This window comes from Homo sapiens, chromosome 5, assembly GCF_000001405.40.
Source record: "Homo sapiens chromosome 5, GRCh38.p14 Primary Assembly".
Taxonomy (NCBI): Eukaryota; Metazoa; Chordata; class Mammalia; order Primates; family Hominidae; genus Homo; species Homo sapiens.
In genome coordinates this window covers 68,099,863-68,117,513 of record NC_000005.10, presented here as the reverse complement: position 1 = coordinate 68,117,513, position 17,651 = coordinate 68,099,863, and the positions used below count along the sequence as shown (strand labels likewise).

Sequence of the window (17,651 nt, the reverse complement as noted above, 5' to 3'; positions counted from 1 at the left end):
TAGATGTTTGCTATCATAAATAAAGCTGCTGTGAACATTCTTGTTCTATAAATCTTTGTATGGACATTTGCTTTCATTTTTCTTGGATAAACACGTAGGAGAGGAATGGCTGAATTAGTATGGTAGATTTGCATTTAATTTTTTAAGGAGCTGACAAACTCTTTTCCAAAGTGGTGTGTTACTCTGAACATTTTAAATGCCTATTTTTTTTTTTTTGGTAAATTACATGAATGGAAAATATGCTGGGTTAAATATTGCTAATAGTACAAGATAAAGTTTGTAAAGAAAAATTATGTCTAGTCAGCTATGTCTGCAGTCAAGTCATAGGAATATAATCCTTCTGTGTCTGCTTTGCTAAACTACACACTTCAGATATTCAACAACATGAGGGCACATGCCAAACAGAAATACATTAACCAACCAAATAGCAGCTGTCCTTGGAGAACTGCTGATTAACCAGCAGGGCTGTGATAACACTCCACCCTAAGCTGGTGGCCCCGTGCTAGGAGCATAACTATCTCATTCATTTTAATGGTTTTGGCAACATGCAATACTCATGTCGTCTTATTTTGATGAAGCTTCCAATTTTCATTTTGCCTTTCATAATGAAAATCAATTTCAGATAAACTGCTGATGGCACTGTGTGTGTGTGTGTAAATATATGTGTACGCACACATATTCATACATAGAATTACATATATAAACCTAGACATTTTCTCTTGCTCCAATAAGACTGAAGGTCATAATTATTGTCCTAGTAATGATAATCTGAGCAACTTCTCACTTATAAGTTACTAACCCTGGTGAGAAACTTGTGACATTGATTTAGTAAGCTTGCAGAGCCAGACCTAGGAGGAACAGGAGGTCAATGTGTATTGGTGGGAGAGGCCAGATGAACTCTGGACTGAAACTGTGGGAAGAGATCCTGGGGTCGCACAGTAACCACTGGGAGTGTGAATAGATCACTATGAGGGACAAAAGGTGCCAGGAAGGCAGCCTGTGTGTAGAAGGTGCTTTCCTGCGTACTGCTGCTGATTATTCTGGTAACTTTCTGCTATCACCACTCATTCAAACTAAGAAGAAATTCTCCTTGAAAGATGGCCCTTTGAGGAGCTTCTGACTTTCCCCATTTAATTCTACTGCAGAACTGTTCCCCAAACCATGTAAATGAAATAGAACACATTGCCTCAAACTATGATGCACAACACTTCAGGGCATCCAAGCAATATAGAGATTTGGTAAGTTATAGTTTAGCATAGGCTTAAAATTAACTTAAAAAAATTTGGCCAGGACCTCCCTGTTTTGCTTCTCTCCAGCAAGAGGGTTCTTCCTCTATCTTTGACTTCTCAGGATCACTCAGTTTTCAGCCTCAAACAAGGCAGGGGCCCCCTTAGAGGATCGTGGGCTTTCTCCCCTGCCACCACTGGCTCTTTGGATTCCCTGCAGTTTCTGGGTTACAGGCTTGTCCTTTCATGGACCTCCACCTGGTCCTTTTAAGCAAAAGGGGAACTTTGTCTTACTCTCCCCTTCTCCATCCTGGATACACAGCTGCCACCTCGGCAACCCCAAGGACATATTCCAATCTTTGGGTAACTCTTCACAGAGAACAACGGTCACATTTGCCCAATGTGACCCTGGTTCCTTTTTAATTCTACACTCTACACCCTTTGGGGAAAGTCTCAGTTCCCATCAACTTATACACTTTCTCTCTTTAGGTAACCACACCTGCAGGCTGTGCATTCTCAGACAGTATCATCTCAAGATAAATTCAGTGGCTATATGCAAACCTGATATGGTTCACTGGGAGGAATGCTGCCCTAAATGTATTTTCTGGAAATAGCATGGGTTTTTATGCTAAAAAGGCTGAATTCACCCACTGAGTGATTTGGGGCAAGTCACATTGAATCTCAGTTTTCTTATCTGTAAACTGAAAATAATAATATCTACCTCTCAGGGTTGTTTATAAACTTCATGTGGGACCATCTGTGCAAAATTACTATAACTCATAAGGTGATTTTAATGCATATGGTTGGGGAATGGGCAGTGGCCACAGTGTTGTTATGGTCTGGTTGAATCCTGATTGGTACTACCTGTGACCTTGAACTTAATTATCAGTTCTTGGAGTTTCAATTTCTTTCTCTGCATGATTAAGATAATGACATAGGAATCTTACAAGGATTAAATGAGATGATGTATATAAAAATGTCTGGAGCCTAGTAGGCTTGCACAGAAATGCCACAGACTCAGGCTGGGTGAGGTGGCTCATACCTGTAATCCCACCACTTAGGGAGGCTGAGGCAGGAGGATTACTTGAGGCCAGGAGTTCAAGATCAGCCTGGGCTACATAGTGAGACCCCATCTCTACAAAAAATTTTTTTGAAAAGGAAAAAGAAGTGACACAGATTCAAAAATTAGTATAATTAGAGAATTTGAATATCAATACTTCCTGGAATCCTCATGCTGCCAAAAGCAGAGCTAAGCTAATTCTTTCTGCCTTACCTCTGATAATTCTCAGATCTAGAATATAAGAAAGCATTCAAGAAACATGTCACTTTGTAAATAATTCTGAACAACTAAAACCAACTGGACAGAAATGTGAAGATGACTCTCTCCTGTTTGATTCATAGCCATGCAAGAAAATGTTGCATGTGGTCTGACAAAAATTTCAGGGAGTCAGTAACCGCACAGCCTGACTTTTCCATTACTCATGCATGGTTGGCTCTCTTTCCAATTAGAAATGACTTTTATCTTTGCTCCTCCTATCTTCACATTTGAAGTCTTGTTCCTATGTAATTAGAAAAAAACAGAGGTTACCCAGCATAAACTCCTTAAGTTTCCTTACCTTCCACCTTCCCTTGTTTATCTGTACTCATTCTCTTTTCTCTCTGTTCTTCTGTCTAACTGCATGCCCATCATCTACCTCATTCTTTTACATATGACCTCAGACCTCATGATAATGCTAATTTCTCTTGAATCATCCGTTCTTTTATTTCTACTTATTTCCCCTTTCTTGCTTCTTCCCCCAGGCATAGACATTTTCTGATTTCTCCCATTAAAAAATTGCTGTCCCTTGTGTCTGCATAGCCTCCAAACTGCTTCCCAAAATTCTTCCTTGGATAGTCTATTCACACCAGCTTCACTTCATGACCTCCTTGTCACACTTGAGCTGCATCTGGCCTCTGCCAGCACCGTTTCTCACTTTCTGACCCCTCAAAAGACAAATGCCTCATTTTAGTTTTTAGTGGCCTGGGGACCCCTTATAACAGGTGACACTGTGGATCCTCTCTTCCTTTATTGAGCTCCTCCCTCACTTCCTACCACACCCCTGCCTGTTGGTTTTCTTTCTACTTTTTGCATCATTATTTCAAAATTCTCTTCGTGGACAATTCTACTTCTGCCAATACTTCCAAGTTGGGTCTGCTAGGATTCTGTCCCTTGTCTTGCTGTGAGTCTTAATTTATTCACATCCCTTAAACAATCTCATTCAGCCAGGACTGGCTACATAATTTGTGAGGCCTAGTGTAAAATAAGAATGCAGGGTCATTTGCTTAACAATTATTAAAAATTTCAAGATGGCAATAGCAGAACATTAAGCCAGACATGGCCTCATTTGTTTGTTTTGTGTTGCTATAATAGAACACTTGAAACTGGATAACTTATAAAACTTATAAAGAAAAGAGGTTTATTTAGCTCATAGTTCTGCAGGTTGGGAAGTTCAAGGGGTATGGCCCTGGCTTCTGGAGAGGGCTTTTGTGCTGCATCATAACATGGCAGAGAAGGTTGAAAAGGAAGCAGATACATTGTGAACAAACAAAATCTGAGGGGCATGCTGGCTTTATAACAACTCACTGACATGGAAACTGATCTTCCTGGAGAACAAATCCAGTCACGCTAGGATGATAACTCACTACTGTAAGAATGGCACCAAGCCATTCATGAGGGATCTGCCCCCATAACTGAAACATCTCCCACTAGGCTCCCTTGCCCAACATCACTACTTTGAGAATCAAATTTTCACATGAGTTTTGGTGAGGACACAGCATTCCTTTATAACTACACAAGTTGTACATCCATGAAGCCAAACCTGTATTCAGCTCCAGATCTTCAAGGAAATGTATCGCAGGTCCATATTTCTAGCCTAGACCTCTCTCTTGAGCTCAGGGCTTAACCATTATTCCCAGAAATGAAGGAACATATTTTGTTTAAATCTGGGCACTTTCACTTACTAGCAGCATGATGTTGAGCAAGGCATTCAATCTCTCTAAGCTTCAGTGTCTCTGTAAAATTTGAGGGCTATAGGAAAGTTTGCAAATATCAAGCTGGTAAGTCAATAATATATTGATAATTACAGCCTATACCTAGGTCTAAACTGTCCATATTCATAAAATGTAAAAAGCCTTGAAGCAGAAAGAGTAGGTAGCTGCTGAAACACCAATATTTTCTGTTTATCTAGTTGTTTAAAAACCGTGAAAATTAGAACAAACAGGTAGTAACCTCTGCAAGGAGCTTAGGAATAATTTTTGCCCCAGTGGGCTTATTTTAAAAATGTATGCAATATTGTATTTCCAGGCAAGAACACAGACCATGAGAGTGAGCTCATTAGCAGGCTCTAGTCAATCTGGTTCTAGAAACTTGACATCATGTGCTTTGAGCTGATGGCTGGACTCCAGTCTCATGTAAACAAAAGAAAGTAGGCTCACACAGCAAAACTAGAAGGTGAGCACCAGTCAGGGGCCACAGACATCTATAAAAAGATTGCTTCTTTGGAGGCGGGTGGATCACCTGAGGTCAGGAGTTCAAGACCAGCCTGGCCAGTGTGGTGAAACCCCATCTCTACCAAAAATACAAAAATTAGCTGGGTGTGGTGGCGCATGCCTGTAATCCCAGCTACTCGGGAGGCTGAGGCAGGAGAATCACTTGAACCTGGAAGGCGGAGGTTGCCCTGAGCCGAGATCGTGCATTGCCCTCCAGCCTGGGTGACAAGAGCGAAACTCTGTCTCAAAAAAAAAAAATTGCTTTTTTGGTGAGTGATGGGTACATTTTCAACTTTGTACTGGGCATCGCAATCAAGATTTTCATCTGGAATCTGAAACCCAGCGTACCCCACACAGAACTCAACAATGGTTTTCCTTCTCAAGTCTGCTTTTTTCCCTCCATCTCCTATGTCAGTTAATGGTACCACTCACTGTGAAGTCACTGAAGCTAAAAAGCCCTGATCAATTTTTACCCTGCCTCTCTTCTTCGCCCCAGCAGCCACCCCCATGCACATCCAGAAAGCAACAGAGACAGTAAGTACATCTAGACTCTATAGACATGATGATGGACAGGTTAGACTACATAAAATAGAAAACAGCTCTGTATGACAGTAGGCATCATAAATAAAATAAAAACACATATAATAGACACACTGAAATATTGCTTATAATATTAATTTCATATTTATAGCCCCAATTCTATAATTATTATGTGATTGTTGGTTTTCTTTCTACTTTTCTCAGCATTATTTCATAGATATTATTACCACCAAGACTATTTAAAATGCCCATAAACCAACAAGATAAATATAAACAGACGAATGGAAAAGTGGGCAAAAGATATGAGTAGGCAATTCACAGAAATAACACAGATGACCCATATACTTCTCAAAAAAAATCTCAATTGAGTAATGATCAGGGAAATACAGATTAAACGCATAAGATATAATTTCCACCCATCAAGTTGGCTTAAAAAAGTTTATTTAGTTAGTTTGTTTTTTACAAAGGTCCAAATAAAGCTAAAAGAGAGGTCTGTTTTTTGCTTTTTTTTTTTTTTTTTGAGACAGGGTCTTGCTATGTTGCCCAGACTAGGCTTGAACTCCTCAGCTCAAGGGATCCTCCCACTTCAGCCTCCTAAGTAGCTGGGACTACAGGCTCAAGACATTATACCAGGCTTATTTAGGTTTTATTATGTGGTGGTAAAAGGGTAGTGTCTGAAGGCAATTGATACTTACAATGTATATACTTTTGGATTCAGAAATTCTACACCTATGTGGCTATCCCTAAGAAATTCTTGCACATTTGCACAAAGAGGCATACATAAAGATGTTTCACTGAAATGCTTTCTGTAATAGCAAAGGAAAGAGATAACCTAAATGTACATCTGTTGAGAATAATTAAGCAACTTACGGTATATTTATACTAGAATATAATAGAATAAATAAAAAGAATGAAATGTATTCATAAATTCTAACTTCAAAAATCTGTATAAATTTTTAAGTGAAAAATAAAAAAGCTTGATTTCTGTAAAATTAAAACACAGTAAATCTTAATTGTATCATAGTTATAGATATGTGCTTGTATAGAAACAGGCCTGGAAGGCTCTGTATGCAGTGACCAAGTGCTCAGCCTCTGGGGTGGAAAGTGGCCTAGTGGGAGGAGGAGGAAGGGGAGAGTGTTTATTGTATGTAATTCCCCATTCGTGAATGTGTATAACAAGCATACAAGGCCATGTTAATTGCAGAATATAACTGAAAACTATCATAACTTTAATCACTTAAAAAATATGGCTGAGACATTTTATCACCTTACTCTTGGATCAAAATACCTGATGGTATCTGACTAGCATGTACATATTTGTATAACCTAAGGTGGTGTTCCTCAAAGTGAGGCTTATAAACTACCTATATCAGAATTCCTTTGGGGTACCTGAAAAAAACCCACCAGTTCCCCCGGCTCTACTCCCAGTGGATTTAATTTGATAGATACGGGATTGTCCTAGGAATTTGCATTTAAAAAAACTGATGGTCAGAGTTGGAGAACCACTGGAGCAGGAAATTCACTTTATTTGGGTTTCACAGCCCTTTGGAAGGTTTGAAATTCCTAGTTCTCTTTAAGGAGGATAGAAAATAAGGCCAGACTAACATACATACGGTGGTATTTGGAAGGTGGAAACAGGAGACTAATTTAGTAGGTAAAGTTTCAAAAATGCTGCCAACCATCACTGTGTTTGTGGCTGCAGGTGCTGACCTGTGTGAACCTGAGGTGGTTACCTGGATGCAAATCCACACCTGCCAGATTTGTGCCAACTCAGAGTAGGCAACAGAATGTGTGTTCTACCTTGCTTCCTATTTACAAGGCTTGGATTCTGCTCCTAATTATGATTGTACTTTTCATTGATATCCTTCAAAGAGATTTATCTTGTGTAGCCAAAACAGATTCAAGAGAAACATTTCTCTGTACTTTAGTTATTGTAGCATTTATGGTTATTTATTTACCTGTCTTTTCTCTCTGAAGACTGTGAGATTGTCAAGAACAGAACTCAGTAATTCTGTATCTCTATCAGCCAGCATAATTCCACATGAAGTACTATGCTGTCCATAAATTATTTCTACCATGAAGTATTTTTTGTAGTAATAGCATCTAGAAATTACAGCCTATGAAATAACAAAGTCCCCCAATTTTAATTTTTTCTGCTTTTCACCATTTCATATAAAGCATTTATTTTGTCATCCTGACTTGGATAAGGGCAATTAAAGTGATTTATTAATACTATTCCTTGGAAATGTTGCCACAGAATATTCCAGATTACACAGGTTACTATTTTTTCAAGATGTTTTACTTCCAATTCTTTTCACAGCATTTATGTACCAATATTGCAATATTTACCACATCTTTATTTACCACAATATTTACCATATATTTATTGAAACACTTTATTAAATATTTGTTCAGGTGTCTTTTTTCCTTTATGGGCTATTAGTTCCTTTAGGTCTGGCAATGAACCCAGTGTCAGGCACATAGATCATGATTAAGAACAATTTGATCAATTAATGTCTCATGAGAGTTTTATATGGCTTAGGAGTTTTTCAAATAGTCATTTCTATGCCTCTTCCTGATAATGTAACATTTTCCTTTTCTAAAAAAACAAGTTATAATTTAAAGCACACAGCATAATTTCAGGGAAAAAAACTGAGTTGAATTTTATATAAAGATGGAATCTCAATTTAAGAAATCCTAAAAATAATCAATGGGATAGCTCCAATAGAACTTGTATTTAAGAAATAAATACTACATTCATTAAAATGATAAGTTCATTTCAGCTGATCATAAGTTTCTACATCCAGAAAGGAAGCAAGTTGGATTAAGTGGATTTTAGCTTGCCCATTCAATTCTCAAATTCCGATTTTAATAACTAATATGTGGTTACTTCATGATGACAACAACTTAAGAAAAGTGACTCAGATGTATGTTCTTGTTTTTTTTTTTGTTCTTAACTTGCAATACATCTATGCTTTTCTCTGACCCTTTAACATTTGAAGACCAAAGAAAGAGAGAAAAATCGATTGTACAAATATTGATCCACTTTACAAAGTTGATGCCACCTGACTCTTTAGCCGCTTGAAAGCTGATAATCCCCCTTTCACCACCTGCAATTACTGCATTGTCCTGAGCTGAAGGCCAGCGATTACATCCCATGCAGTGCTGATTTCATTAAAAAGCAGTTCAGAGTCACCTCTGAGGTAACTTCCCCAGTGAGGATGGCTGACTCAAATTTCAGTTTGTGCTTTGATTATGAGTTTTGAAGTACCAGACGTGCTAAGCATAATACAACATATTGTTATCTTTATTTATTAGTCTCTATGAGAATTAATCATCTTTCACTGATAGCAATCTCTCCATGGTTTATGGCCCCTCTCAAGCCTTGGCTCTCATCTGCCACTCAGAATTTTATTTTATTTTATTTTTTTAAACTTTCTTTCTTTCTTTCTTTCTTTCTTTCTTTCTTTCTTTCTTTCTTTCTTCTTTCTTTTTATTATGCTTTAAGTTCTAGGGTATATGTGCACAACATGCAGGCTTGATACATAGGTATACATGTGCCATGTTGGTTTGCTGCACCCATCAACTCATCATTTACATTAGGTATTTCTCCTAAGGCTATCCCTCCCCCAGCCCCCTGACCCCCCGACAGGCCCCAGCGTGTGATGTTCCCCGCCCTGTGTCGAAGTCATCTCATTGTTCAATTCTCACCTATGAGTGACAACATGCAGTGTTTGGTTTTCCGTGCTTGTGATAGTTTGCTGAGAATGATGGTTTGCAGCTTCATCCACGTCCCTGCAAAGGACATGAACTCATCCTACTTTATGGCTGCATAGTATTCCATGGTGTATATGTGCCACATTTTCTTAATCCAGTCTATCATTGATGGACATTTGGGTTGGTTTCAAGTCTTTGCTATTGTGAATACTGTTGCAATAAACATACGTGTGCATGTGTCTTTATAGTAGCATGATTTATAATCCTTTGGGCATATACCCAGCAATGGGATAGCTGGGTCAAATGGTATTTCTAGTTCTAGATCCTTGTGGAATCACCACACTGTCTTCCACAATGGTTGAACTAGTTTACACTCCCACCAACCATGTAAAAGCATTCCTATTTCTCCACATCCTCTCCAGCATCTGTTGTTTCCTGACTTTTTAATGATTGCCATTCCAACTGGCGTGAGATGGTATCTCATTGCGGTTTTGATTTGCATTTCTCTGATGACCAGTGATGATGACCATTTTTTCATGTGTCTGTTGGCTGCATCAATGTCTTCTTTTGAGAAGTCTGTTCATATCCCTTGCCCACTTTTTGATGGGGTTGTTTGTTTTTTTCTTGTAAATTTGTTTGACTTCTTTGTAGATTCTGGATATTAGCCCTTTGTCAGATGAGTAGATTGCAAAAATTTTCTCCCATTCTGTAGCTTGCCTGTTCACTCTGATAGTAGTTTCTTTTGCTGTGCAGAAGCTCTTTAGTTGAATTAGATCCCATTTGTCAATTTTGGCTTTTGTTGCCATTGCTTTTGGTGTTTTAGTCATGAAGTCCTTGCCCATGCCTATGTCCTGAATGGTATTGCCTAGGTTTTCTTCTAGGGTTTTTATGGTTTTAGGTCTAACATTTAAGTCTTTAATCCATCTTGAATTAATTTTTGTATAAGGTGTAAGGAAGGGATCCAGTTTCAGCTTTCTACATATGGCTAGCCAGTTTTCCCAGCACCATTTATTAAATAGGGAGTCCTTTCCCCATTTCTTGTTTTCATCAGGTTTGTCAAAGATCAGTTGGTTGTAGATGTGTGGTATTATTTCTGAGGGCTCTGCTGTATTCCATTGGTCTATATCTCTGTTTTGGTATCAGTACCATGCTGTTTTGGTTACCGTAGCCTTGTAGTATAGTTTGAAGTCAGGTAGCGTGATGCCTCCAGCTTTGTTCTTTTGGCTTAGGATTATCTTGACAATGCGGGCTCTTTTTTGGTTCCATATGAACTTTAAAGTAGTTTTTTCCAATTCTGTGAAGAAAGTCATTGGTAGCTTGATGGAAATGGCATTGAATCTATAAATTACTTTGGGCAGTATGGCCATTTTCATGATACTGATACTTCCTATCCATGAGCATGAAATATTCTTCCATTTGTTTGTATCCTGTTTTATTTCGTTGAGCAGTGGTTTGTAGTTCTCCTTGAAGAGGTCCTTCACATCCCTTGTAAGTTGGATTCCTAGGTATTTTATTCCCATTGTAGCAATTGTGGATGGGAGTTCACTCCTGATTTGGCTCTCTGTTTGTCTGTTATTGGTGTATAGGAATGCCTGCGATTTTTGCACATTGATTTTGTATCCTGAGACTTTGCTGAAGTCGTTTATCAGCTTAAGGAGATTTTGGGCTGAGACGATGGGGTTTTCTAAATATACAATTATGTCATCTGCAAACAGGGACAATTTGACTTCTTTTTCTAATTTTTTCCTGATTGAATACCCTTTATTTCTTTCTCTTGCCTGATTGCCCTGGCCAGAACTCCCAATACTGTGTTGAATAGGAGTGGTGAGAGAGGGCATCCTTGTCTTGTGCTGGTTTTCTTTTCTTTTCTTTTTCTTTTTTTTTTTTTTTTTGAGACAGAGTCTTGCTATGTCGCCCAGGCCAGAGTGCAGTGGTGTGATCTCGGCTCACTGCAAACTCTGCCTGCCAGGTTCATGCCATTCTCCTGCCTCAGCCTCCCAAGTAGCTGGGACTACAGGTGCCTGCTACCACGCCTGGCTAATTTTTTTTGTATTTTTTTAGTAGAGACAGGGTTTCACCCTGTTAGCCAGGATGGTCTCGATCTCCTGACCTCGTGATCCACCCGCATTGGCCTCCCAAAGTGCTGGGATTACAGGCGTGAGCCACTGCGCCTGGCCATCTTGTGCTGGTTTTCAAAGGGAATGGTTCCAGTTTTTGCCCATTCAGCATGATATTGGCTGTGGGTTTGTCATAAATAGCTCTTATTATTTTGAGATACACTCCATCAATACCTAGTTTACTGAGAATTTTTAACATGAAGGGCTGTTGAATTTTGTCAAAGGCCTTTTCTGCATCTATTGAGATAATCATGTGTTTTTTGTCATTGGTTCTGTTTATGTGATGGATTACATGTATTGATCTGCATATGTTGAACCAGCCTTGCATCCCAGGGATGAAGCCAACTTGATCGTGGTGGATAAGCTTTTTGATGTGTTGCTGGATTCGGTTTGCCAGTATTTTATTGAGGATTTTTGCATTGATGTTCATCAGGGATATTGGTCTAAAATTCTCTTTTTTTATTGTGTCTCTGTCAGGCTTTGGTATCAGGATGATGCTGGCCTCATAAAATGAGTTAGGGAGGATTCCCTCTTTTTCTATTGATTGGAATAGTTTCAGAAGGAATAGTACCAGCTCCTCTTTGTACCTCTGGTAGAATTCAGCTGTGAATCTGTCTGGTCCTGGACTTTTTTTGGTTGGTAGGCTATTAATTATTGCCTCAATTTCAGAGCCTGTTATTGGTCTATTAAGAGATTCAACTTCTTACTGGCTTAGTCTTGGGAGGGTGTATGTGTTGAGGAATTTACCCATTTCTTCTATACTTTCTAGTTTATTTGCATAGAGGTGTTTATAGTATTCTCTGATGGTAGTTTGTATTTCTGTGGGATCGGTGCTGTTATCCCCTTTATCATTTTTTATTGCATCTATTTGATTCTTCACTATTTTCTTCTTTATTAGTCTTGCTAGCAGTCTATCAATTTTGTTGCTGTTTTCAAAAAACCAGCTCCTGGATTCATTGATTTTTTGAAGGGTTTTTTTTTTTTGTCTCTATCTCTTTCAGTTCTGCTCTGATCTTAGTTATTTCTTGCCTTTTGCTAGCTTTTGAATTTGTTTGCTCTTGCTTCTCTAGTTCTTTTAGTTGTGATGTTAGGGTGTTGATTTTAGATCTTTCCTGCTTTCCCTTGTGGGCATTTCGTGCTATAAATTTCCGTCTACATACTGCTTTAAATGTGTCCCAGAGATTCTGGCACATTGTGTTTTTGTTTTCATTGGTTTCAAAGAAGATCTTTATTTCTGCCTTCATTTCATTATTTACCCAGCAGTCATTCAGGAGCAGGTTGTTCAGTTTCGATGTAGTTGTGCGGTTTTGAGTGAGTTTCTTAATCCTGAGTTCTAATTTGATTGCACTGTGGTCTGAGAGACAGTTTATTATAATTTCTGTTCTTTTACATTTTAAGGAGTGCTTTACTTCCAATTATGTGGTCAATTTTAGAATAAGTGTGGTGTGGTGCTGAGAAGAATGTATATTCTGTTGATTTGGAGTGGAGAGTTCTGTAGATGTCTATTAGGTCTGCTTGGTGCAGAGCTGAGTTCAAGTCCTCCATAGCCTTGTTAACTTTCTGTCTCATTGATCTGTCTAATGTTGACAGTGGGGTGTTGAAATCTCCCATTATTATTGTGTGGGAGTTTAAGTCTCTTTGTAGGTCTCTAAGGACTTGCTTTATGAATCTGGGTGCTCCTGTATTGGGTGCATATATATTTAGGATAGTTAGCTCTTCTTGTTGAATTGATCCCTTTACCATTATGTAATGGCCTTCTTTGTCTCTTTTGATCTTTGTTGGTTTAAAGTCTGTTTTATCAGAGACTAGGATTGCAAACCCTCCTTTTTTTGCTTTCCATTTGCTTGGTAGATCTTCCTCCATCCCTTTATTTTGAGCCTACGTGCATCTTTGCACATGAGATGGGTCTCCTGAATACAGCACACTGATGGGTCTTGACTCTTTATCCAATTTGCCAGTCTGTGTCTTTTAATTGGAGGATTTAGTCCATTTACATTTAAGGTTAATATTGTTAGGTATGAATTTGATCCTGTCATTATGATGTTTGCTGGTTATTTTGCCCATTAATTGATGCAGTTTCTTCATAGTGTTGATGGTCTTTACAACTTGGCATGTTTTTGCAGTGGCTGGTACCAGTTGTTCCTTTCCATGTTTAGCGCTTCCTTCAGGAGCTCTTGTAGGGCAGGCCTGGTGGTGACAAAATCTCTCAGCATTTGCTTGTCTGTAAAGGATTTTATTTCTCCTTCACTTATGAAGCTTAGTTTGGCTGGATATGAAATTCTGGGTTGAAAATTCTTTCCTTTAAGAATGTTGAATATTGGCCCCCAGTCTCTTCTAGCTTGTAGGGTTTCTGCCGAGAGATCTGCTGTTAGTCTGATGGGCTTCCCTTTGTGGTTAACCTGACCTTTCTCTCTGGCTGCCCTTAGCATTTTTTCCTTCGTTTCAACCTTAGTGAATCTGATAATTATGTGTCTTGGGGTTGGTCTTCTCAAGGAGTATCTTTGTGGTGTTCTCTGTATTTCCTGAATTTGAATGTTGGCCTGTCTTGCTAGGTTGGGGAAGTTCTCCTGGATAATATCCTGAAGAGTGTTTTCCAACTTGGTTCCATTCTCCCCGTCACTTTCAGGTACACCACTCAAATGTAGATTTGGTCTTTTCACATAGTCCCAGATTTCTTGGAGGCTTTGTATGTTTCTTTTTACTCTTTTTTCTCTAACCTTGTCTTCTCACTTTATTTCATTAATTTGATCTTTAATCCCTGATACCCTTTCTTCCCCTTGATCGAATCAGCTATTGAAGCTTGTGCATGCAACACGAAGTTCTCGAGCCACAGTTTTCAGCTCCATCAGGTCATTTAAGGTCTTCTCTATACTGTTTATTCTAGTTAGCCATTAATCTAAGCTTTTTTCAAGGTTTTAACTTCCTTGCAATGGGTTCAAACATCCTCCTTTAGCTTGGAGAAGTTTATTATTACTGACCTTCTGAAGCCCACTTCTGTCAACTCATCAAAGTCCTTCTCCATCCAGCTTTGTTCCATTGCTGGCGAGGAGCTGCAATCCATTGGAGGAGAAGAGGTGCTCTGAGTTTTAGAATTTTCAGCTTTTCTGCTCTTGTTTCTCCCCATCTTTGTGGTTTTGTCTACCTTTGGTCTTTGATGTTGGTGACCTACAGATGGGGTTTTGATGTAGATGAACTTTTTGTTGATGTTGATGCTATTCCTTTGTGTTTATTAGTTTTCCTTCTAACAGTCAGGTCCCTCAGCTGCAGGTCTGTTGGAGTTTGCTGGAGGTCCACTCCAGACCCTGTTTTCCTGGGTATCAACAGCGGAGGCTGCACAATAGCAAATATTGCAGAACAGCAAATATTGCTGCCTGATCCTTCCTCTGAAAGCTTTGTCCCAGAGGGGCACCCACCTATATGAGGTATCTGTTGGCCCCTACTGGGAGGTGTCTCCCAGTTAGGCTACACAGGGGTCAGGGACCCACTTGAGGAGGCAGTCTGTCCATTCTCAGAGCTCAAATGCCATGCTGGGAGAACCACTGCTCTCTTCCGAGCTGTCAGACAGGGACTTTTAAGTCTGCAGAAGTTGTCTGCTGCCTTTTGTTCAGCTATGCCCTGACCACAGAGGTGGATTCTAGAGGCAGTAGGCCTTGTTGAGCTGCTGTGGGTTCTGCCCAGTTCGAGCTTCCCAGCCACTTTGTTTACCTACTCAAACCTCAGCAATGGCGGACGCCCCTCCCCCAGCCAGGGTGTGCCTCGAAGTTCGATCTCAGACTGCTGCACTAGCAGTGAGCAAGGCTCTGTTGGCTTCGGACCTGCTGAGCCAGGCACGGGAGAGTATCTGCTTGTTTGCTGGTTGCTAAGACCTTGGGAAAAGTGCAGTATTTGGGCAGTAGTGTCCCATTTTTCCAGGTAGTCTGTCATGTCTTCCCTTGGCTAGGAAATGGAATTCCCCCCACCCCTTGTGCTTCCAGGGTGAGGCGATGCCCCCACCCTGCTTCAGCTCACCCTCCATGGGCTGCACCCACTGTCCAACCAGTCCCAATGAGATGAACCAGGTACCTCATTTGGAAATGCAGAAATCACCCGTCTTCTGCATCGATCAGGCTGGGAGCTGCAGACTGGAGCTGTTCCTATTTAGCCATCTTGCGCAAGTCAATTTTATATATTTTTCATGCCAGCAAATAATAATTTGCCTGAAATTCCATTTTAATGCTATGAAGATGACTACTTCTACCTCTGAAATGCCATTAGGTTAATCATCACCTTGACAGACTGGAAAAATGATATTTTAGGCCTATATTCGTTGTAACTCACTTCTGTTATCATTTTTGAAAAAGAGAAAAAAATTTTTTGGTCAAGTAAAGACTACACTTAGGTTGAAGCCTCCAAGAATTTTACAATGTATGTCAGGCTATCTGTGAACAAGGAGAATCCACACCTGGATCTTTGTGAATTCTAGTTATTGGAGTTTATTTCAGTTTCTCTGTCATTACCACTAATGTTTTTTACATACATAGAAATACTCAGTTGACATGCAGGCAGATGTTTTGTGGATTCATATCAAACCTCCTTTTAGTGGTGAATAATTAAAAGATTAGATAATCAGTGTGGCAAAGTGAAGAGAGCCTCTGTGGGAAGTGCTCACATTTCTTTTGGACCACCTGTATGAGTGCCATCAAGTGTACCAGGTAAATCCACTGATTTTCAGAGGATTCTCAGCCATCCAGAGCCCCAGGCCAGACCTATGAAATAAAATCTTTAGGAGACATCCAGGATTGTGTTTTCAATACAGGTGATTCCAGCTTGCTATTGGTTAGGGAACCACTGCCCAGAGATAGTCTGGGTAGAAGATCCCTAATTTTATCTTGTTTAAGAATCAGAGAGATAGTTTATTAAAATGCAAACCTTTAAGCCCCAACCCCAGAGATTCAGATTCAGTGGAGCTGGCTCAGGATCCAGGAATTAACACTTTTAGTGAGCATCCCAGGTGAAACTGCTGCTAGTGTGTCAAAGAAATGTACTTTGAGAAACACTGGGACAGCAGTGAACCAGAATTTAGCCACAGACAGCTAATTATTGAGCAGCTACTGGATTAATGTTGTTTATTATTAATAGAAGAGAGTACCTCTGTAGCTGAGTGTAATATCCATAATTATTAGAAGAATCATGAAAAAAGTTCTCTTTCTGATAGTGGAATATTGATTTTTGCTTTTCTTAGTGAAGGTAGAGTAAGAATATGTACAAAGAAGTAAAAAAAGGTACAAATTGCTATCTAGCCAGCATCACTTCTTTGTACAAAAAGCCCAGGGAAAACTTGAGGCTCTTTGCCTTACTTTTCTTCCTCCTTTCCCTCTCCCAAATCATTGCAGTAACACTGTTGGGAAACTAGAGAAGCCAAACAAAAAGATAATTTGGCATCTCCCCAATTCCTCCCTTGTCCTCCCCTCCCACCCCCATATAACTACTGTTAAGTTTATTCAGCTACATTCAGATCTTTCCAAAATACAGTCGTAGCAAGTCAGTTTCCTTCAGGGATTCTCAGATGTTCTCAGGATCGAGTTCAGACCCCTTAGCATGGCTGAGATAAGCCATGAGCTGGTCTTTGCGCATGGCTCTATCCATCATCTCTTGCTTTCTAGGTCAAAGTCACCAAACATCGATTCACTAGAAATGAATTTGACCAAGGAATCAATTATCCTTAAGATACCCCAAATACTAATTTTCCAAAAAAATGTGTTAAAAAAACTATAAACTTTATGGCAATTTATATTAGATGGGATTTTTTAAATAACTTCTGATGATTTCTGCAATGCTTTAGTTGACTGGTTTTCATTTTATTGCTTTCACAGCAGCATTTTAGGGAATTGAAATTCAATTTTACAATTATAATTAATTAATCTACTGATTTAATATGGCACAGGATAAGGAGAGGCAGCTTTTCATTGTGGGAGGTGTGTGGTGGTGCTGGGATCAGGGGTTTTAGGAAAAGATTTCTAGTAACTGAATCGTAGGAGGGAGCCAGACATGAAAAGCTCTAGGGGAAGAATGTGTCTAATTCTTTGATAAAATTTAAGGAGATTTAAAAAGTAATGTTTATAGCATTTGATACCTTTTATAGCAATTCGCATAGCCCTGCCCTAGCTGTAAGGAAAGCAAGAGAATGGAGTAACTGGAATTTTTACCTTTCCTAGCAGGAGCCATGTTCTCTCTCATTAGAAGACATCCCCATTGAAACAGGATTCAGATGTAAGTTGCCAAAAGAATAATAAATGTCAATGTGGTAGCAATTGGGAGAAATAGAGGAAACCAAAAGGTAAAGTGATATAAAACCACATATAAACACAGCTTTTCATTAGTTTTCAGTTAGTTTAACCTCACAAAGTCAATTTACTCAATTATCAGCAGTGAGCCAAAGTTCTGTATTTTAGGTACTTTAAATTTATGATTTGGGGAATGAAGATTTCTTGTGAATTTCAAATTGCTTCAACTAAAAAGGTAAACTAAATGGTGAAAAAAAATC

At 39.2% G+C, this 17,651-nt stretch overlaps 2 annotated features.

Annotated features, from left to right (window-relative positions):
• Positions 1,683-1,832: an enhancer, noted in NCBI's record as "active region_22628". NCBI's record gives its function as "activates an Ori minimal core promoter by ATAC-STARR-seq in GM12878 lymphoblastoid cells {active_cell/tissue: GM12878}" and the evidence as "EXISTENCE:reporter gene assay evidence [ECO:0000049][PMID:35858748]".
• Positions 8,230-8,731: an enhancer, noted in NCBI's record as "NANOG hESC enhancer chr5:67404611-67405112 (GRCh37/hg19 assembly coordinates)". NCBI's record gives its function as "activates a minimal SCP1, AML or CMV promoter by ChIP-STARR-seq in naive H9 embryonic stem cells {active_cell/tissue: H9 hESC(naive)}" and the evidence as "EXISTENCE:reporter gene assay evidence [ECO:0000049][PMID:30033119]".